The sequence below is a fragment of the Homo sapiens genome, chromosome 1 (assembly GCF_000001405.40).
Source record: "Homo sapiens chromosome 1, GRCh38.p14 Primary Assembly".
Lineage (NCBI taxonomy): Eukaryota > Metazoa > Chordata > Mammalia > Primates > Hominidae > Homo > Homo sapiens.
This window is the reverse complement of record NC_000001.11, coordinates 52,228,126-52,246,502: the sequence shown is the minus strand read 5'-3', so window position 1 is coordinate 52,246,502 and position 18,377 is coordinate 52,228,126. Positions and strand designations below refer to the sequence as shown.

The 18,377-nt window shown below is 38.1% G+C and overlaps 1 protein-coding gene across 5 annotated transcripts in view; it reads right to left on the bottom strand.

Moving 5' to 3' along the window:
* Window positions 1-18,377, bottom strand: part of ZFYVE9 (zinc finger FYVE-type containing 9) — a 204,546-nt gene that overhangs the window by 100,132 nt on the left and 86,037 nt on the right. For all 5 annotated transcript variants that reach the window (NM_004799.4, NM_007324.5, XM_047434682.1 and 2 more), the window contains exons 3-4: window positions 13,227-13,332; window positions 6,908-9,015 (exon numbers count right to left, since the gene is read on the bottom strand). In NM_004799.4, the coding sequence (NP_004790.2) occupies window positions 6,908-9,015; window positions 13,227-13,296 (2,178 nt within the window). In that variant the 5' untranslated portion in view covers window positions 13,297-13,332. The remainder of the gene's footprint in view (window positions 1-6,907; window positions 9,016-13,226; window positions 13,333-18,377) is intronic.

Here is an 18,377-nt window from a genome sequence, read left to right as displayed (position 1 = left end):
AAGAAAACTGATCTCTGAAGGTATAAGCCAAAACATTATTTGTCTTAATGTGTTACTAATTCAGATTTTATGAAGGTTATTCTCTATTCACATCTAAATTCTCAAATGTTAAACAAAAATGACTTCAACTCAAGTTACCCAAAAATAAACTGCAACTAATTTAACACATAACTATTCAAAATAAAAATTTATATCTAATAAAATGTTAGATATTTTTCATCTTTCTTTTTGAAATAGTATTTAAGGCATTTGTTTTAAAAATTACGGCATAAAGGCCAGGCATGGTGGCTCACACCTGTAATCCCAGCACTTTGGGAGGCCAAGGCTGATGTATCAGTAGAGCCCAGGAGTTTTGAGACTAGCCCAGGCAACACGGTGAAATCCTGTCTCTACCAAAAAATACAAAAATTAGCTGGGTGTGGTGGTGTGTGCCTGTAGTCCCAGCTGCTCAGGAGGCTGAGGTGGGATAATTGCCTGGGCCCAGGAAGTAGAGGCTGCAGTCAGTTGAGATTGCATCACTGCACTCCAGCCTGGGCGACAGAGTGAGACCCTGTCTCCAAAAATTAAAAATAAAAATTATGGCATAAATGCAGACATTTCTCTCAGAAATGCAAAGAAAATAACATAAAGATCACCATAAAGAAACCTATTTGTTTTATTCTCTCAACTTTATTTATGGGAAAGAGCATGAGTTATACAGCTAGCAAGACTGTGTCAGGGTCCTACCGTATCAGTTTCTTCAATGTTAATTAGGGATACCATCAACTATCACACAGGTTTACCAGGAAGATTAAGTTAGATAATAAATAAAGCACAGAATAGGCACTAAACAAATGCTAGCTCCCTTTTGGTTCTAGAAGTCAAAGTCCCTGAGTTTGAATCGTAACTTCACTTACTGGCTGTGTGATTTTGAACAAGTTACTTAATCTTTCTAGGCCTATTTTGTCACTTGTAAATGTGGATTTTAACAGTAGCTAGCTACTTCATAGGGTTGTTATGTGTATTAAATAAAGTCTGTAAGTCTGGATTTAGAAAAGCGCCTGGCACATGGTAAACACTCAATAAATATTAGTATCTCATTCTCCTCACAACCACCACCACCACCACAATCTATCTGCTTCCCACTGCAGAGCATCTGCAGCTTTGTAACTGTTCATTTCTCATTTTATATCTTTAAGTCATCTACAGTAACATGAGTGGTATGTTTTACCAGGAGGCCCATTCTTTTCCTTTTTTTTTTTCTTTTTGCTTCTCTTTAGTAAAAAACAGAATACCAAGCAATAAGTAAATGCTCACTGAATGAAAGAACAAATAATATGTCATAATTTTTTTTTTTTTTGAGACAGAGTCTCTCTCTGTCACCCAGGCTGGAGTGCAGTGGCGTGATCTCGATCTCGGCTCACTGCAACCTCTGCCTCCTGGGTTCAAATAATTCTCGTGCCTCAGCCTCCTGAGTAGCTGGCATTACAGGCCCCTGCCACCACGCCCAGCTAATTTTTGTATTTTTAGCAGAGATGAGGTTTCACCATATTGGCCAGGCTGGTCTCGAACTCATGATCTCAAGCTATCCACTTGCCTCAGCCTCCCAAAGTGCTGAGATTACAGGCATGAGCCACTGCATCCAGCTAAAAGTTTTTTTAAATTGTTTTAAAAAAGAACAAATACATGGAAATAGGTAGACAGGTAGTAGCACAGACGGGTCCTACAGAACTCTTCTTGCTTCTCCAAACTAAAATGCTTGTATCGCAAAGATAATATAACAATTTCATCATATCTCCAAGGATAAATACTGATTCTAACCCATTAAGTCAGGACTGGACTAGATTATTTTTTAATTCATCTAACTGACTGAAAGTTTGATGCCAAGCACAAAGGGCTCTTGAAATTTCAATTCACTATTAGGCTTTACTTTTCCTCTCCAATGTAACTATCTCACTCTCCTCAAACCTTCATCATCTATCCCTATTTCACCCTTCACAATGTTTATATTTTCTATATGAAGTATAAGCCAATCAGGTGTAAATTTCTTCATGCTCTCACCACTAACTTCATAAACCAACCTCTGTCTAGCCCCACCCACTGAAGAGCAAATCCTCAACATGTTGTAGATCCCATCCCTTTGGCCTTCTCAAGGATTTTTCTCTTCCTTTGTTTAATCCTCCCTTTCTCCTAAAACTTCTTTTCTAGAGAATCACCCATACCACTATAAAAATACAACAGTATTTCCCATCCTCCAAAAAGGCATCCATAACCACCATCTCCATCTAATAATTGCTACAATTTTTTTCTGTTTTCATGGCAAAAGTTCTTGAAAAAGCCATCACCACTTCCTCCCTTCATATTCCACTTTCAACCCATTCCCATCTGGCTTCTGTAAACATTGCTCCACTCAATCAGCTTTTTTCAATGACCCTGTTATAGCCAAGTCCAATGGTCCCTTTCCTGTCCATATCTTACTGACAGTATTTTATATAGGTGATAAACCCTTTCACAAACTACATTCCTCTTTTGACTTCCAAGAGACCATATTTTCCTGGTTTTCTATTTACCTCTCCGCTCACTCCTTGGCAACTGGTACTGGGTCCTCCTCTGCTTGACCACATGGGCTCAGCCCTGAGTCTATTCTCTTCCCTTGGTAATCTCATCCACTCCCATGGCTTCCCACTGTGCTCCTTACATGACCTGCAAAGCTCTGCATCATCTATTCCTTAACTTCCTCATCAGCATTTTTTTTTTTTTAGTGGAGATGGGGTCTCAGCTCTGTCACTCTGGCTGGAGTACAGTGGCTATTCATAGACATGATCATAACATGCTCAGCCTATGGAGTAGCTGGGACAACAGGCCTGTGCCACCCCACCTGCTTTCCCATCTCTTTTTATGTGACTCTTCCCTCGTTCACTATACTGGAGTTCCTTCAGTTTGTTGAATAGGTGCCTTCTTAACCTCAATGACTTTGTCCATGCTGTTCTACTTCCTGCAGGAGTTCCTTCAGTTTGTTGAATAGGTGCCTTCTTAACCTCAATGACTTTGTCCATGCTGTTCTACTTCCTGCAGCATTTTTCTCTGTTCTTTGAAGAACTGACTCCTCCACCTTTATGTGTCAACCTTGATGTGTCAACCTTGAACTATGTCACTTCTCAGATGTCTTCTCATACCTTCTTCTCCCACCCCCATTTTTTATATTATCCCTCCTTATCTCCTTCATCGCCCTTGCCACAAATCATGTTTTTTTGTTTTGTTTTGTTTTTGTCACTGGCCTAATCTTTACATACCATGAGGGTGGGGAGCACAACATCATTGGTGTAAGCTCGGCACCCAGCACAGTGACAGACAAATAACAGGCACTCAGTGTTTGTTGAATTAATCAATGATCTGAGACTCATTTACTCACTCATTAACAAACATTTATTGAGTACTTCATAGGTGCCAGGTATTTGTGCTGGATGCTGGATACAAAGACAAATCAGAGGCAATCTCAAGATCTTTACAGCCTAATGGGGAACAAAGACAAAGACAATACTGCATGATAAGTGCTATGACATGGATGAGACCACTTTTAACCAATACAGCCTTTCAGAGGGTGTGTAATGGAAAATATTTCCCTGGGTTCAGCTTCACTAGAAACCAAGATTAATCTAAATGTTGGTTCTGTTTTTTTCATGCCAGATGGCTAAAATCACAATATCAATTACAAGGCAAGACAGATTTTCATGCAAAGTATGAGGGAAACTGTGAATTGCCATGTAATATTCTAAAGCAGCTACTTACTACTCTCATATCTATTCATTCCCATCAGTACATAAGAAACTAGGGAAAGAAACATTTTGGTTTGAATCTGTTCTTAAGTAGGAACAATACACATGACTAATTTAAAATATTTTCCAAAGTTCTTACACCCGTTATATCTAAATTTGATACCATCATCTAAAGATTGAAGGCACTGGATTTAAAAAAAAAAAAAGTACTGCTGCATTAAGAAACAGTATTCACTTATTGTTTAATTCATCTAACAAATATCTACTGAGCACCCGTATGTTCTAGGGCTGAGGATACAGCAGCAATCAAGGCAGAAAAAATCCTTACCCTCATCAAGCTTGGAACTGAATTACAAAAACAAATAATAAACTTAGATAAGACATAAATGAAATCATAATTAGAAAGTCAGTAGATTGGCCAGGCGCAGTGGCTCATGTCTGTAATCCCAGCACTTTGGGAGGCCAAGGCAAGTGGATCACTTAAGGTCAGGAGTTCCAGGCCAGCCTGGCCAACATGGTGAAACCCCGCCTCTACTAAAAATACAAAAACTAGCCAGGCCCGTTGGCGCATGCCTGTGGTCCCAGCTACTCAGGAGGCTGAGGCAGGAGAATTGCCTGAGCCCAGGAGGCAGAGGTTGCAGTGAACTGAGATCACGCCATACACTCCAGCCTGGGCAACAGAGACTCTGTCTCAAAAAAAAAAAAAAAAAAAAAAAGATTGCCATGACATCATAAATTCCAATTTATATACCTCTGAATCCCCATTACCTAGCCTAGAACCTTTTATATATTAGACACAATATATGCTTGTTGCAGTAAAGGGAATATAGCTATAAATATTAAGTAATTACTACGTATGCTTAATTTCTACTGAAATGGAACAAACTTTCTTTTTTTCAATATATAACATTATTTGGGGTATTTTTCTAGCTGCATTCTCAGCATAATCCAATTAGTATCTATGTTTATAAGCCCTTTTCTTCTGAGAAGCTCAAGGATTTTTACAGATATTATCTCATTAATACTTATAACATCTCTAAGGTAAACGAGGGAAAAAGATGAAATTATGAATCCATAAGCCACATGAATCCATGAATTCATAAATTCCACAAATTCTACTCAGCAAAAATTCCAACCATTTTGCAATTTATGATGCATTTTGTGCATCATTTTCTTTCTGAATCCATCTAAGGTACCTATTTACTCATTATAGCTGGATGTGCTGGCCTATACCAAAAATGTTTTCATTATTTACTTAAGAAAGCAAACACTTCAGAAAGTGTTACAGTAAGCAAAATACAGAACAACATAAAAATGATGAACCTAATCTACAAATAGTACTTCAGCTAACAAGAAGAAGACTGGAAAATATTTAGGAATTAGACATATTATTTTCTTCAAACTTTAGCAATCAGAGACCAACAAGCCCAGTGTCAGCTTTAGCTTCTTTCTGCTCCCTGTAATTTGGTTCTTTTGTGCTAGGATCTTCTAGTAAACCTTAGTGACTGCTCACCTAGGAACCATTTTCCTCCTCTCCTTTTTTTAAAATAAATTTTATTGTATACATTTAAGGTATACAACATGATGTTATGAGATACATCCAGACAGTAAAAAGGTTACTATAGTGAAGCAAATTAACCTATCTATTGTCTCACACAGTTACCCATTTTTGTGGCAAGAGGAACCAAAATCTACTCATTTTGCAAGAATCCCAAATATAGTATGATTTTATTATGCATAGTCCTCATGTAGTACATTAGACGTCTAGACTTACTCATCCTACATATCACTACTTCCCCTTCTCCTTTGTTAACAGAATCCCACTTTTTTTCAGGCAACACTGTGCTCAGCCCCAGGAGATAAATCATGATTGATTAGATAATCCCAGTCCCCTTTGCCTGTAATTGGTTATGGTCTAAAATTGGCCAATAAATTAAAGGAAGTTGCTGGAGGTCCCTTCCTCCCTGATAAGAGGGTGCCAAGAGTAGAGTAGGCTCTTTTGCCCCCCAGCCAGTTTCTTTGTGCTTAGGAAGTTGTCAGGTTGAGACCCGATAATTAGAACTGAGATACTATCTTCTGACATGAGGGGAAGACCGAGAGAACTTCCACGATCCTGTCTCTGCACCCAGACATAAATCACTGAGTCTCATAGCTTCTGTTTACATGAAATAAATGTTATTTTCACCTAAGTCACTGGGGGGTCAAACACTCTGTTCCTTGAAGTTGAAAGCACCCTAATTAATACAGATGGACCAAAAAATCAGGCAAGAAGGGAGGTAGAGATTAATCATTGAGCACTATGACTTCTGAGATCTCATTTAATCTTGACAACAGCCCAATAAAAGTTATTAATCTTTTTTGGTTTGTTTTTACAGATTATAAAACTAAGGCTTAGTAAAGTTATATAATTAATAGTAACAAAGCTGAAATTTTATTCTAGACCTGACACCATATCTCAAAAATATAAAATCTCCTTCCTTCCTTATTTACAACTCTAAACAAACAAACAAAAAAGATGTGTTTTTAGCTAACAAAATTTGGGGAGAGCTAAGGAATATCATTCTTACAACCTTGTCATAAAAATCTACAGACTTCAACTCTACTTTGTATCAAAGTTATATGGGAGAAAAGACAAAAATATGTGTGCATGTGTATAAAGAGTTCCAGAATGTTTTGTATAATGGCAAAAATCTCACAGAAAAAAGTAGGATGGATTCTATGTGTAATATTTTTCAACAATTAAATGTAATTTTTATTTTTATTTTTTGTATTTAAATGCATTTTTCAATAAATAATGCAATAAGTTAATGACAAATATTTCCTAAACTGAAAGAATAACTTCCTTATTTCAAACTATTACATTAACCAAGTAGCTATCAATACAGAAACCACAAAGTTTACACTTCCTCAATTCTCATCTCTTCATAAAAACTGATTCAGCATAAATCGTGGCAACAAAAAAAATTACAAATACTATCTAAGAATCAGTGACATCATTTTTTATATAGAAATTTACTAGAACTGGGTTTTCAAAAATGCTATTTAGGTCAACTCAACCAGACATATATTCACCTTACATTGCCTTTATTACTATTTAATTCAGCATTACAAAATGTGCATGCCCGATTTCTGAGTGTATACATGCAACTTACCTTCCCACATGCTCTGCAGTGATGCCTCCTTTTGGTGAATGTAAACCTGGCTTCACATTTCATGCAATTTGGAGCCTGAGAATCCGGTACCCATACTGGAGCCACCTCACCCAGAGTGGTGAATGGCTTTCTGGCAGAAATTCCAAACTGACCAGCTCTGAGATCATTATCTGGGCTATCTGGAGCTAATGCAAGGCATGGTCTAGTGGAGATCTCAGCCTCATAACTTTCTAAATGTTCCCCATTTGTATCGACATTAGAGATGTTTCCCAAAGATGGACTGCATACATTGGTTGCTGAGTTTTCCCCTAATTTTGCTTTCCCAAGAATATCATTTTTATTTTTAGTATTATTTCCACTGTTTGCAGGAAAGTCATTTTGTAAATGGTCTGATAATGGCTTTGGAATTTGAAGTTTAAGATTAGAAGGTTGCTTGGGTCTTGCACCACCAAAAGGAACACTGATAGATGGCAGGCTTGCTACTACCTTGGGGGAAGATTGCCCAAGCACTGATGGAACTTGACTACAGAAATTATGTAAATAATTTTTCTTCATTAGGTCACCAGTGCTGTTTAAAAGTAGTCCACTCCCTTCTGTGGCCTCATTTCCTCTCTGTTCATAAATATTTGAGTAGCATTCTGACTTGCTTTCCTCTATTTCTTTTTCTTCTGTTACTGAATCTTCTTTGGAGGGTAAAGTCTTTGGAACAAAAGAAACACCTGGGTCTTGCATTCCATAGGAATCACAACCATTAGATAGATAATTTGCTGCTGGTGTGTCTATAACAGTGGAGAAATCACATTCTTCACTTTCACTAATGCAAGTTCCTTTTAAATCTAGACCTGCATCTGCCAATCCAACACACTGTCCTCCACTATCACCATTAGTGTCCTCAGGCTGACTAATCTGTAGAAACTTTTCCTTTTCTTCGTTTACTTGGCTATCATTCATCTCATTTAGTTTAGTCAACTTCCAATTAGTCATGTCCTGAGATTCAGAGAAATGCTCTGTCATATTAAGGAATTCTGTAGTGCCAAGAGTTTCTTCATGTTCATAACCTTCATTTTCATCAGCCCTAACTTCATTAGGCACAAGGCAATCTGAACACCGTTCACAGTCATTATTCCTTCCAGACCCATTAGGCATGTCTGGTTTGAGAAGCAAAGGTAAACCAGACCGGAGGGATTCTTCAGTGGTGCTCTCCTCTGCTGGCTCTTTTTTCATCAAAATCCCCTCACTCATGTGGGAAAAGGAATTTGGACTCCCTAGATCTGTCCTAGGAGAGCTGATTTTGCCAGTGAGGTCCTCATCTGGTATATAGTTCTCTTGCTTTTTAACAGCAGGACATCCATCTGTTCCCTGGGATGAGATTACTGAATCAACCGTTAAACTTGTAATCGCAGACATGGAGGGGTCTCTACCTATACTTCCGTCATCCTTTAATTGTGAAGGGGAACAGACACTGGCTAGACTATCAGATGAAGTAGGACACAGATGGTTAACAGATCTCCCCTCTGTTTTCGGTCTATTCAATGGATCCATTTGTTTCTCTGAATTCATATCTTTTTCAGTGGACTCATTTATACTAAAACTAAATTGATCAGTTTGTCTGTTTTCATTATCCAGTGAACAGCTAAAAGCATCCATAAGGGATTGACTATTATAATTATTACAATCCTGTAAATCGTTTTGTAATGTCCTTTTATCACAGTTATGCATGACGGCTACAACAAGAACATTCTTCTCATCTGGCAGACAAGCCAGGTTTCCACATTTCTTCTCTCCCACTTCAACAGCACTGCATTGATCATCCCAACTATAGTTTCTCTTAATTAACTGGTCTTCTGCAACAGCATTTTCATCAATCCACATTGTGGCAATCTCTGGATTTAGATTACAGTCCTGTCCATTAGCACAGTGATCCTCTTCCTCTGTGGTCAGGGGAGCTGAATGAGCCAGGGAGAAGACTTTCAGTTGTGGTTGTGACTCATTAGAAACTGCAGATTCATTCACACTGGCCAAAGTAGGGTTAAATGACAGCCGGTGAGAAGGGGGATCTAGAATCTTATTCCACTTTGTATCCAATAAAGTAGAAGAAACTGTTTCATCTGGAAAAAAATAAGTAATTACAATAAGTTTGCTTGTAACACTGGAAAAGCTTATGACTAAGTTAATAACATTTCTAACTATCGTTTGAAAATTAAATATTCCAAGGATATTAGATTTCTAATTCGGGGCTAAAAAATAAGAAAATATATTTCAGACAATTCTCTGCAATTATATGTCACCAAATGGTAATATCTCAGACTATTCCAAACAACAAAAGAATTCTACCTCAATCTAGTAACATAATTAAACTGACCCACAGGTGAATGGGACCCAGAAGAGGGGAAAGCACCCTTGGATTGAGCAAAGCCAGGACAGGTGCTAATCTAATGGATTAGATGGAAAAAATTTAGAACAGTGGCTAGGATAACTAATTAAGCAGGAAGGAAAATGAAGTTTTCTGTAGAGACTGAATGCTCTACACTCTGTATCATAATTAGGATGTGGGTTTGAGAGAGATACCCATTTGCCAAAACTGGACAGTTAAGATCTATGCATTCTAATGTATATAAAGTTTACCTTTTAAAAAGCTGTTAAAAAAAATAAGAATGAAGCAGGGAGTGAGAAGGTGATAAAGGTATAAATGAAACAAAATGGCAGCATATGAAATGCTGTGAAAGCTGGATGATGGGTACACTGGGGTTTATTATACTTCTTACTTAAAAATATTTTAAATTTGCCCAACACATGTTAAAAAAAGTTTGCCACAGTACGTGAAATTCTGCTTGTAACCATGTCACAATACATTATTAATCAGGTTCATATTTATATTATTATCTGAGGACACTGGGCAAAAAGTGTTCATTTATCATATTAAATCAACATTCTTATAGTCTACCAATAAGCATAATTTCATATAATGTTTCTGTTTACTTTTTAACAGATCATAACTACAATGGCTAAGTTATTCTCTCAAGTTATAGGGCTACTGCATATGTCTAAGTAAATTAGAGAAATAAGGAACAATGCACTCAGTGCCTTTCTTGCTTTCTTCCTCCAGTATCTCTGATAATCATGGTCCTGAAATTATGCAGATATATTTGTAAGCTCAATCCTCATCTGTAACATTAATCTTCAATGTGTCCACAGCACCTTAATCAAAACTTTATTAAGGCATTTACTACACTGAAATGCAATAGTTTATCTACCCTTCTCTTTCAACCACTGAATGATTTCTGAAGGCAGAAATCATTTCTATCAATATAAGTCCTCACTTTGCATAGTGCCTGATAGGTAGAACATACACAGTAAATATATAAGTGAATATCTACCATAGTAAAAGCAGCAGGATTGAGGAACATGAAGATTAAATGATAGCTCTTGCCTCTAAGAAGTATATAATCTCATTGGGAGAATAAGAGACACGTACAAACATCTAATTAGCAGTATGGAGTAGCATAGGTACAGTAAGTCCTCACTTAACATTGTTGATAGGTTCTTGGAAACTGCAATTATAAGCAAAACAACTCACTGTATAAAGAAGCCAATTTTACTATAAGCTAATTGATATAAACAACAGTTAAGGTTCTCCGGCATACAGTGTATCAATTTGCTTAAAGTCACAGTTTCCAAGAACTTATCAAAGACATCAAGTGAGGACTCAGTGTCTGAAAACTATTATGTAGGAGTAGAAAAATAAATTCAGAGGAGACAGATATTTTCCAGGATGAGGTAAGCGAGCTTGAATTCATGAAGGCAAGAAGAACTGGGCTATGCTTCAAAGACAGTTTTATGTAAGTTTGGAAAAGAAAGCATTAATAAATAGAGGAATAAAGAAAAGCATATCCCCAAATATAAGAATTTAAGGAAGCAATAAGTAAATCAGTTTGGGTTGAGAAAAGAATTAGTGTAAAGAAGTAGTGAAAAGTTGTTAAAAAGGGCACAAAACTCAGATTGTGTGAAGAATGGGCTTAGTATCCTCTGAAATGTCAAATCCTGAATTTACCAAATTTGAACCAGTAGAGATTTGAAATTTAGTAACACAGGATTCCTTAAAAGAAAAAAAAGCAAATAAGTCATATTTCCAATATGGTTCCTGGAAACAAAAAAATAGTTACAGCTTCTTACAAGAATATTTAGCAATGTTCAAACAGAAATGATCGGGTATTAAAATTTTCATTATTCAACTGCCTCCTACCTGGGCATAATGTTGATTGCCCAGTGTCATCACAGTCTGTGGTATATTTTTTCATTTAAATGAGAAAATAAATTAACACAAAATGAGAAATCATTTTAAGTATATTCTCTAAGATAACACGAGGCTTGAAGTGATAGTTTTTAATGCAACTGGTAGTGAGATTCAAAAAAATAGTTCAAACAAATGAACCACAAAGTTACAACCAAGAAGCTGGTTTCAGAAATCCTTCTCCTTCTAAAGGAGTTATTATTCTGTAAGCAATTGCTCTATTTTTTAACTAAAATATTTTTACTGATTCAACAAAAATGTATTGAAAACAACTATACACAAAGCACCCTAATAGAATCTACAGAAGTCACAAAGAGACAAATGTAATGAACTAAGAGTTTTATTAGAGTCAGTGGTATTCTAGAAGCATAGTATTCACATGATTAGGTGTAATACATGTCTAAGTACCTTATGACTCAAAGAACTGTGATACACAGAGGGCTAAATCAAATAAAAGATTAAGAAAATACTTATACAAACAGTTGAAACTCAGAAAATAATATACCTTCCAGCCTGGTATGTACAAAGCCCACCTGGATGATGTAAAACCCCAATGATTAGATTTCACATTTACATGAACCAGGAATGAGCCTAGGAATATAGGTTAGTGTTAGGTCATCAATGGTAAAATATGAGAAAAGCAGGCCACTCTGGTAGCCTTCCTCTCTCTCTTCCTTCCTGTCATGATTCCATATTCAATTTAAGGCTGGAGAGCATTAAATATCTAAAGTAACAAAGTCAAAACTAATCTGTCTTCCCAACTGCTATCAAAGAATAGCCCGATTCACTGAATATAGCAAAGGTTTGTAAACCAATATGGAAATCATGGGCTTTATTATTTTTTAAGACAGGGTCTCACTCTGTCATCTGGGCTGGAATACAGTGGCATGATCACAGCTCACTGCAGCCTCTATCTCTAGGGCTCAAGTGATTCTCCCTCCTTTGCCTCCCAAATAGCTGGGACCACAGGTGTGCCACCAGGCCTGGCTAATTTTTTTTGTATTTTCTGTAGAGACGGGGTTTCATCATGTTGCCTGGACTGGAATCATGGACTTTGGATGGAAATATACCACTTTGTAAACTTGTTAATGCCATTTCCTGTTAGAAATAGAGAACACAGGGGAAGAACGGTGAGGAGGAAGAAATTTAATTATGGCTTACCCACTCAAGTTAAACCAAGATGGAAATTTAGAGAAAAGTCTTCCCTAAATAGAAGTGAATCTTGGCCAGGCGTGGTGGCTCATGCCTATAATCCCAGCACTTTGGGCGGCTGAGGAGGGAGGACTGCTTGACACCAGGAGTTTAAGACCAGCCTGGCCAACAAGGCGAAACCCCTTCTGTACTAAAAATACAAAAATTAGCCAGGCATGGTGGCGGGTGTATGGAATCCCAGCTACTCTGGAAGCTGAGGCATGGGAATCACTTCAGCCAGGGAGGCAGAGGTTCCAGTGAGCACTGCACTCCAGCTTGGGAGACAGAGCAAGACTTTCTCAAAAAACCAACCAACCAACAAACAAACAAAAGAAGTGAATCTTAAGTGGACATTTCTACTGATGCTTGAGAATATATAATTAACCACTTAGGCAGTTGTGATGTAAATAGTTTTAAATGTATCTTTACTTTATTGGGCAATCAATATAGAACGAGCTATTTTTCTTAGTTTAGGAAATGCAAGCACATTTCTTGACCATACATTCATTGTATAGGGTAGTTCAGTAAAGCTCAGGCTCTAGTGTCACACTGCCTGGATTCTAATCCTGCCACTTGTTCACAAGATAACTCTGAGAAAAGTGCTTAACCTCTCTGTGCCTCTATTCTCATCTATAAAATGGCAATAAGATCTGTGGGATTTTAAGTATCTGGCATTTAGTGCTAAAAAATGTTATTTCTTCCCCTGTATATTATTAAATAATATTACTATCATTAAGTCATCAGACCTGATTTTATTTTTTTAAATACTACATCCTCTTATATCCCCACATTCTCTATACCACATAGGCAAACAGATTCACCAATATAAATTCTCACCTTCGTTTTGTTCAAATTCATCTAACACCTTGTCCAGGTTGTAAGCTTCTGCTTGGAAGTAATTCTCCATCGGTGAGGAAACACCACTTAAGAGACTTGTTTAAACCTAAAAAGTAAATGCGTATTACATTTTGAATTATTAAAATATAATTTATAAATCTTAAGTATATACACAAGGATAAAATCTCTTATAAATCTTTCCAGATAATGGTAAACTACAAAACCTGGCATCCCACTGGATATATTATAAGATCTTTAAGCTAATAAATTCTAAAAACCTGTAAGCTGACAATCAACAAAATATAACTAAATATAAAAGGCTGACTTGGTGATCATTTCATGCTTCAACAGACACATTTCAGATGCTGGGAAAGGAATCATTGTTTGGTATAAAATTGTGTTTCTATTAAAGAACGAAGCTTACAGAATTTTTTTCAAATGGGAAATGACAGGGAAGTTTAAGTACAGGAGTAACGGATACTAGTTCCAAAATGCTAATGATGACTCTGACCTGGTTATTCCTTTTTTTTTTTTTTTTTTTTTTTTTTGAGACAGAGTCTCACTCTTGTTGCCTAGGCTGGAGTGCAATGGCTCCATCTTGGCTCACTGCAACCTCTGCCTCCCGAGTTCAAGCGATTCTCCTGCTTTAGCCTCCCAAGTAGCTGGGATTACAGGCAAGCACCACCATGTCCAGCTAATTTTGTATTTTTAGTAGAGACAGGGTTTCACCATGTTGGCCAGGCTGGTCTCAAACTCCTGACCTCAAGTGATCCGCCCACCTCAGTCTCCCAAAGTGCTGGGATTACAGGCATGAGCCATGCACTTGGCCCTGACCTGGTTATTCTTGTAACCCTCTTCGAGTACCATTTCTAAACCATTTCTTTAATGTTAATCGATCCAAAAGCATCCTTGGGCATATACACTAGGTATGTCAATGACTTAACAGATGCTAAGGGCACATAATAGGTGTTAAGTAAATGCTACCTATTATCTCCTTTTTTCCATCCATTACCATGATCTCCACACCTATTTCCTTAGTGTTTCAAATTTTTCTTTCCAAACTGAAAATTCTGCTTGGCTTCTTATTGATATAATACAGGCAGGGGAGGTCAAATTACAAATTCCCCAAAAAGTCTGAGTAAGGAAAACATGAAAAACAGAGAAAATCAGAAATGTAATAGGCTGTCTTTGTAAACTTTAAGTCAAATATAATAAGTGATGAAATTTCTTTGACTTACTAAGGTAGTGTTTCTTCTTCTCTGAGGTATATAAGTGTCAATGATATTTCCCTCATTTTACAAATAAGAAAACAAGCTCAGGGAATTTAACTGACTTATTCAAGTATTTCCCGGCCAGGCGTCGTGGCTCATGCCTGTAATTCCAGCACTTTGCAAGGCCAACGTGGGTAGATCACCTGAGGTCAGGAGTTTGAGACCAGCCTGGCCAACGTGGTGAAACCTCGTCTCTAGTAAAAATACACAAAAAATTAGGCAGGAGTGGTAGCGTGTGCCTGTAGTCCCAGCTACTCAGGAGGCTGAGGAGGGAGAATCACTTGAACCCGGGAGGTGGAGGTTGCAGTGAGCCGAGATTGCACCACTGCACTCCAGCCTGGGCAACAAGTGTGAAGCTCCATCTCAAAAAAAGAAAGAGTATTTTCCCATGATTATTAACTTGGTTAACATTTATAGATTGGCTCCTATTAGGTTACTTAAGTTTAGGTAGGCAAATAAGCTACATAATCTGTGAATTATTTTTTTTGGAGATGGAGTCTCACTCTGTCACCCAGGCTGGAGTGCAGTGGCTCAATCTCAGCTCACTGCAACCTCCCCCTCCTGGATTCAAGCGATTCTCCTGCCTCACCCTCCAGAGTAGCTGGGGCTACAGGTGTGTGCCACCATGCCTGGCTAATTTTTGTATTTTTAGTAGAGACAGGGTTTCACCATGTTGGCCAGGCTGGTCTCAAACTCCTGACCTCAAGTGATCTGCCCACCTCAGCCTTCCAAAGTGCTGGGATTACACGCATGAGCCACCACACCCAGCCCATAATCTATGAATTTTTTTAAATATCTATCTTTGTTGTCTAATTATTTATAGGTCAAAATCATTTTTATATGCATGCCATTTCAGATAGGTTGCACATTTAATGTCTACTAATGCTAAGAGCAAATGAAATTTCTCACAACACACAATCTGACACATTCAATATACACCTACAATATTTAACAGCATTTTATGGTCATTATAAAAATATTAGTAAACAAATAATCAGATTAACATATTTACCTACTGCATCTACTATATGCATCTATACTGTAATCAAGTCTCAGATATCATCCCTAACATTATAAAGCTTATAATTTAGTCAACAGTAAACAAGGCTAAGTAAGAAAATTTAAATAATAAATGATTTTAATAACAGCACAGGAGACAGCAAGTGATTAACCTGTCAGATAAAATTAACAGATAAGTGCTACAGAATAACTAGTACAGAAGTTCAAGAGGTTATTTAAGTTCATCATTCTTCATTTGATCTCTTTGCTCAAATATCACTTTCAAAGGCAAGTGTTATGTGAACCCCCAGAAAAGGTGATGGCTCCCCTTATAAGGGGACAGATAGAGACAGGAGGCAGCCAAGGGTACCCCAGCAAAACCCCACCTTCAAGTTTAAAACAGCATGAGGGCTGAAAAACCAAATTGCCCATCCTGGATGAAGCCTGCCCTTTTCCAACTGATTCTTTTTTTTTTTTTTTTTAAGTTCCAGGATACATGTGCAGAACATGCAGATTACATAGGTATATGTGTGCTGTGGTGGTCTGCTGCACCTACTGACTCATCCTCTAAGTACGATCCCCACCCCCGCAACAGGCCCTGGTGTGTGTTGTTCACCTCCCTGTTTGACTGATTCTTTCTGGATGCCCACCTGCGCACTGCACACTGGGAGGACGGGGTGGGGCCTTGGGAAGTTCACTCCGTTTGCCTCTCCTGTTCCTGTGTGGTAACATGGGATTCAATCTGTGAGATGGGAGCCTGTTAACAGGAACCCCTCTCGCTTTGCTGAGTTTTTTCCTTTTTGCCTTCCCCCTCACCCTTCAAAGTGTCTGTGAGCCTAGGCAGGGCGCGGAGGCTCACGCCTGTAATCCCAGCACTTTGGGAGGCCAAGGCAGGCAGATCACGAGGTCAGGAGATGGAGACCATCCTGGCTAACACGGTGAAACCCCGTCTCTACTAAAAATACAAAAAAATTAGCTGGACGTGGTGGCAAGCGCCTGTAGTCCCAGCTACTCAGGAAGCTGAGGCAGGAGAATGGCGTGAACCTGGGAGGCGGAGCTTGCAGTGAGCCGAGATCACACCACTGCACTCCAGCCTGGGCGACAGAGCGAGACTCCGTCTCCAAAAAAAAAAAAAAAAGTGTCTGTGAGCCTAATCTTTCCTGGTTGTTTGACAAGAACCCGCTTTTTCTACAACAACAATCCCTCATGGCACCCCATTCTTGGTCCTTAAAATATTTATCACCATCTATAAATACACATCAGTGTGATTATTTGTCAATCTCTCCCACCAGACTGTAGGCACCACAAGGGCACCCACCAGACTGTGTTCACCATGTATTCCTGGTGATTCACATAGAGCCTGATGTGCTAATGTGGTATCTATTTCAATTAATAACTGCAGAATGAATAAATGAACAGTGTATAAGCAGCTGGTCAATAAGTTGTACTGAATTCCAGTTACGATAACTGATTCAAACAAGCATCAAAAATGGATGCTAAACTATTAAGTAAATTATTATTGGGGAAGAAACTATTCACAGTACCTCACATTATCATTCCACAGGTAAATCACTAATTTCAAAGAAGGAAATGTATGTTTACAATGAAGAGATATAGAAATCATCACCTTAGCCAAATGATTTAACTCAGTACCACCACAACAGTTTAACAAGCTGACATTATGCACTTTCCAATATGATGCAATGAAAAATATAAAACATCACCTATACAGTATTCTTGCCAAAACATTTAGCCGATTTAATCATGAGGAGACAATAAGACAAATCTAGAATGTGAGACATTCTGTATCTGATCTGAACTTTCCAAAATATTATATGTGGCTAGGCGCAGTGGCTCACATCTGTAATCCCAGTACTTTGGTAGGCTGAGGTGGAGGATTGGATCGCTTGAGCCCAGAAGTTCAAGAGCAGCCTGGGCAACATCAACAAAAATAAAAATAAAAATTAGCCAGGTGTGGTGGTGCAGCTACTCAAGAGGTTGAGGTAGGAGAATCGCTTAAGCCCAGGAGTTCGAGGTTACAGTGAGCTATGACTGCACCACTGCATTCTAGCCTAGGTGACAGAGCAAGACCTCGTCTTTAAAAAAAAAAAAAGGAAAAAAGATTATTCTCAACTAGAACAGACAAAATATTAAATAACCAAGTGTCAGGCACTGACTTGATTCTGGATCAAGAAAACACACATATACACACACACAGCATAAATTAACATTTTGAGAACAATCTCAGAAGAAATTTGGATATGGACGATACATTGGGTGACACATTGAATTAATTATCATTTTCTTAGATGTGATAATGGCATTCTGATTTTGTAGGGGAATGCCCTTACTTGTTCTCTTAGGAGATGCCTGCTGAAGTGTTTAGGGAAGAAGTGTTGTGTTGTCTGCAACTAACTTTTAAATGATGTGAGAGTATATGTGTGGGAAGGGAAGAAAGGTGTGCAAAAGGGACAAAATGGTAAAAACTGATAACTCTAGCTGAAGGATATATGGGTCTTAATTGTTCTAGTCTTTCCATTTTTCTGCAGGCTTAAGATTTCTTAAAAGAAAAAAGGGCACACTGAGCTGATGGGTGGTAAACATTCCTTCCTACTCTAAATAAAAAAATTCTAGACAAAACTAATTATTTTAAAGAGTTTAGCACTTTGGGAGGCCAAGGTGTGAGATCGCTTGAGGCCAAGAGTTTGAGATCAGCCTGGACAACATAGTGAGACTCCGTATCTACAGAAAATTTTAAAAATTCGCTGGGTGTGGTGACACATGCCTGTAATCCCAGCTACTCATGAGGCTGAGGCAGGAAGATTGCTTCAGCTCAGGAGACGGAGGTTGCAGTGGGCCATGATGGTGGCACTGCACTCTA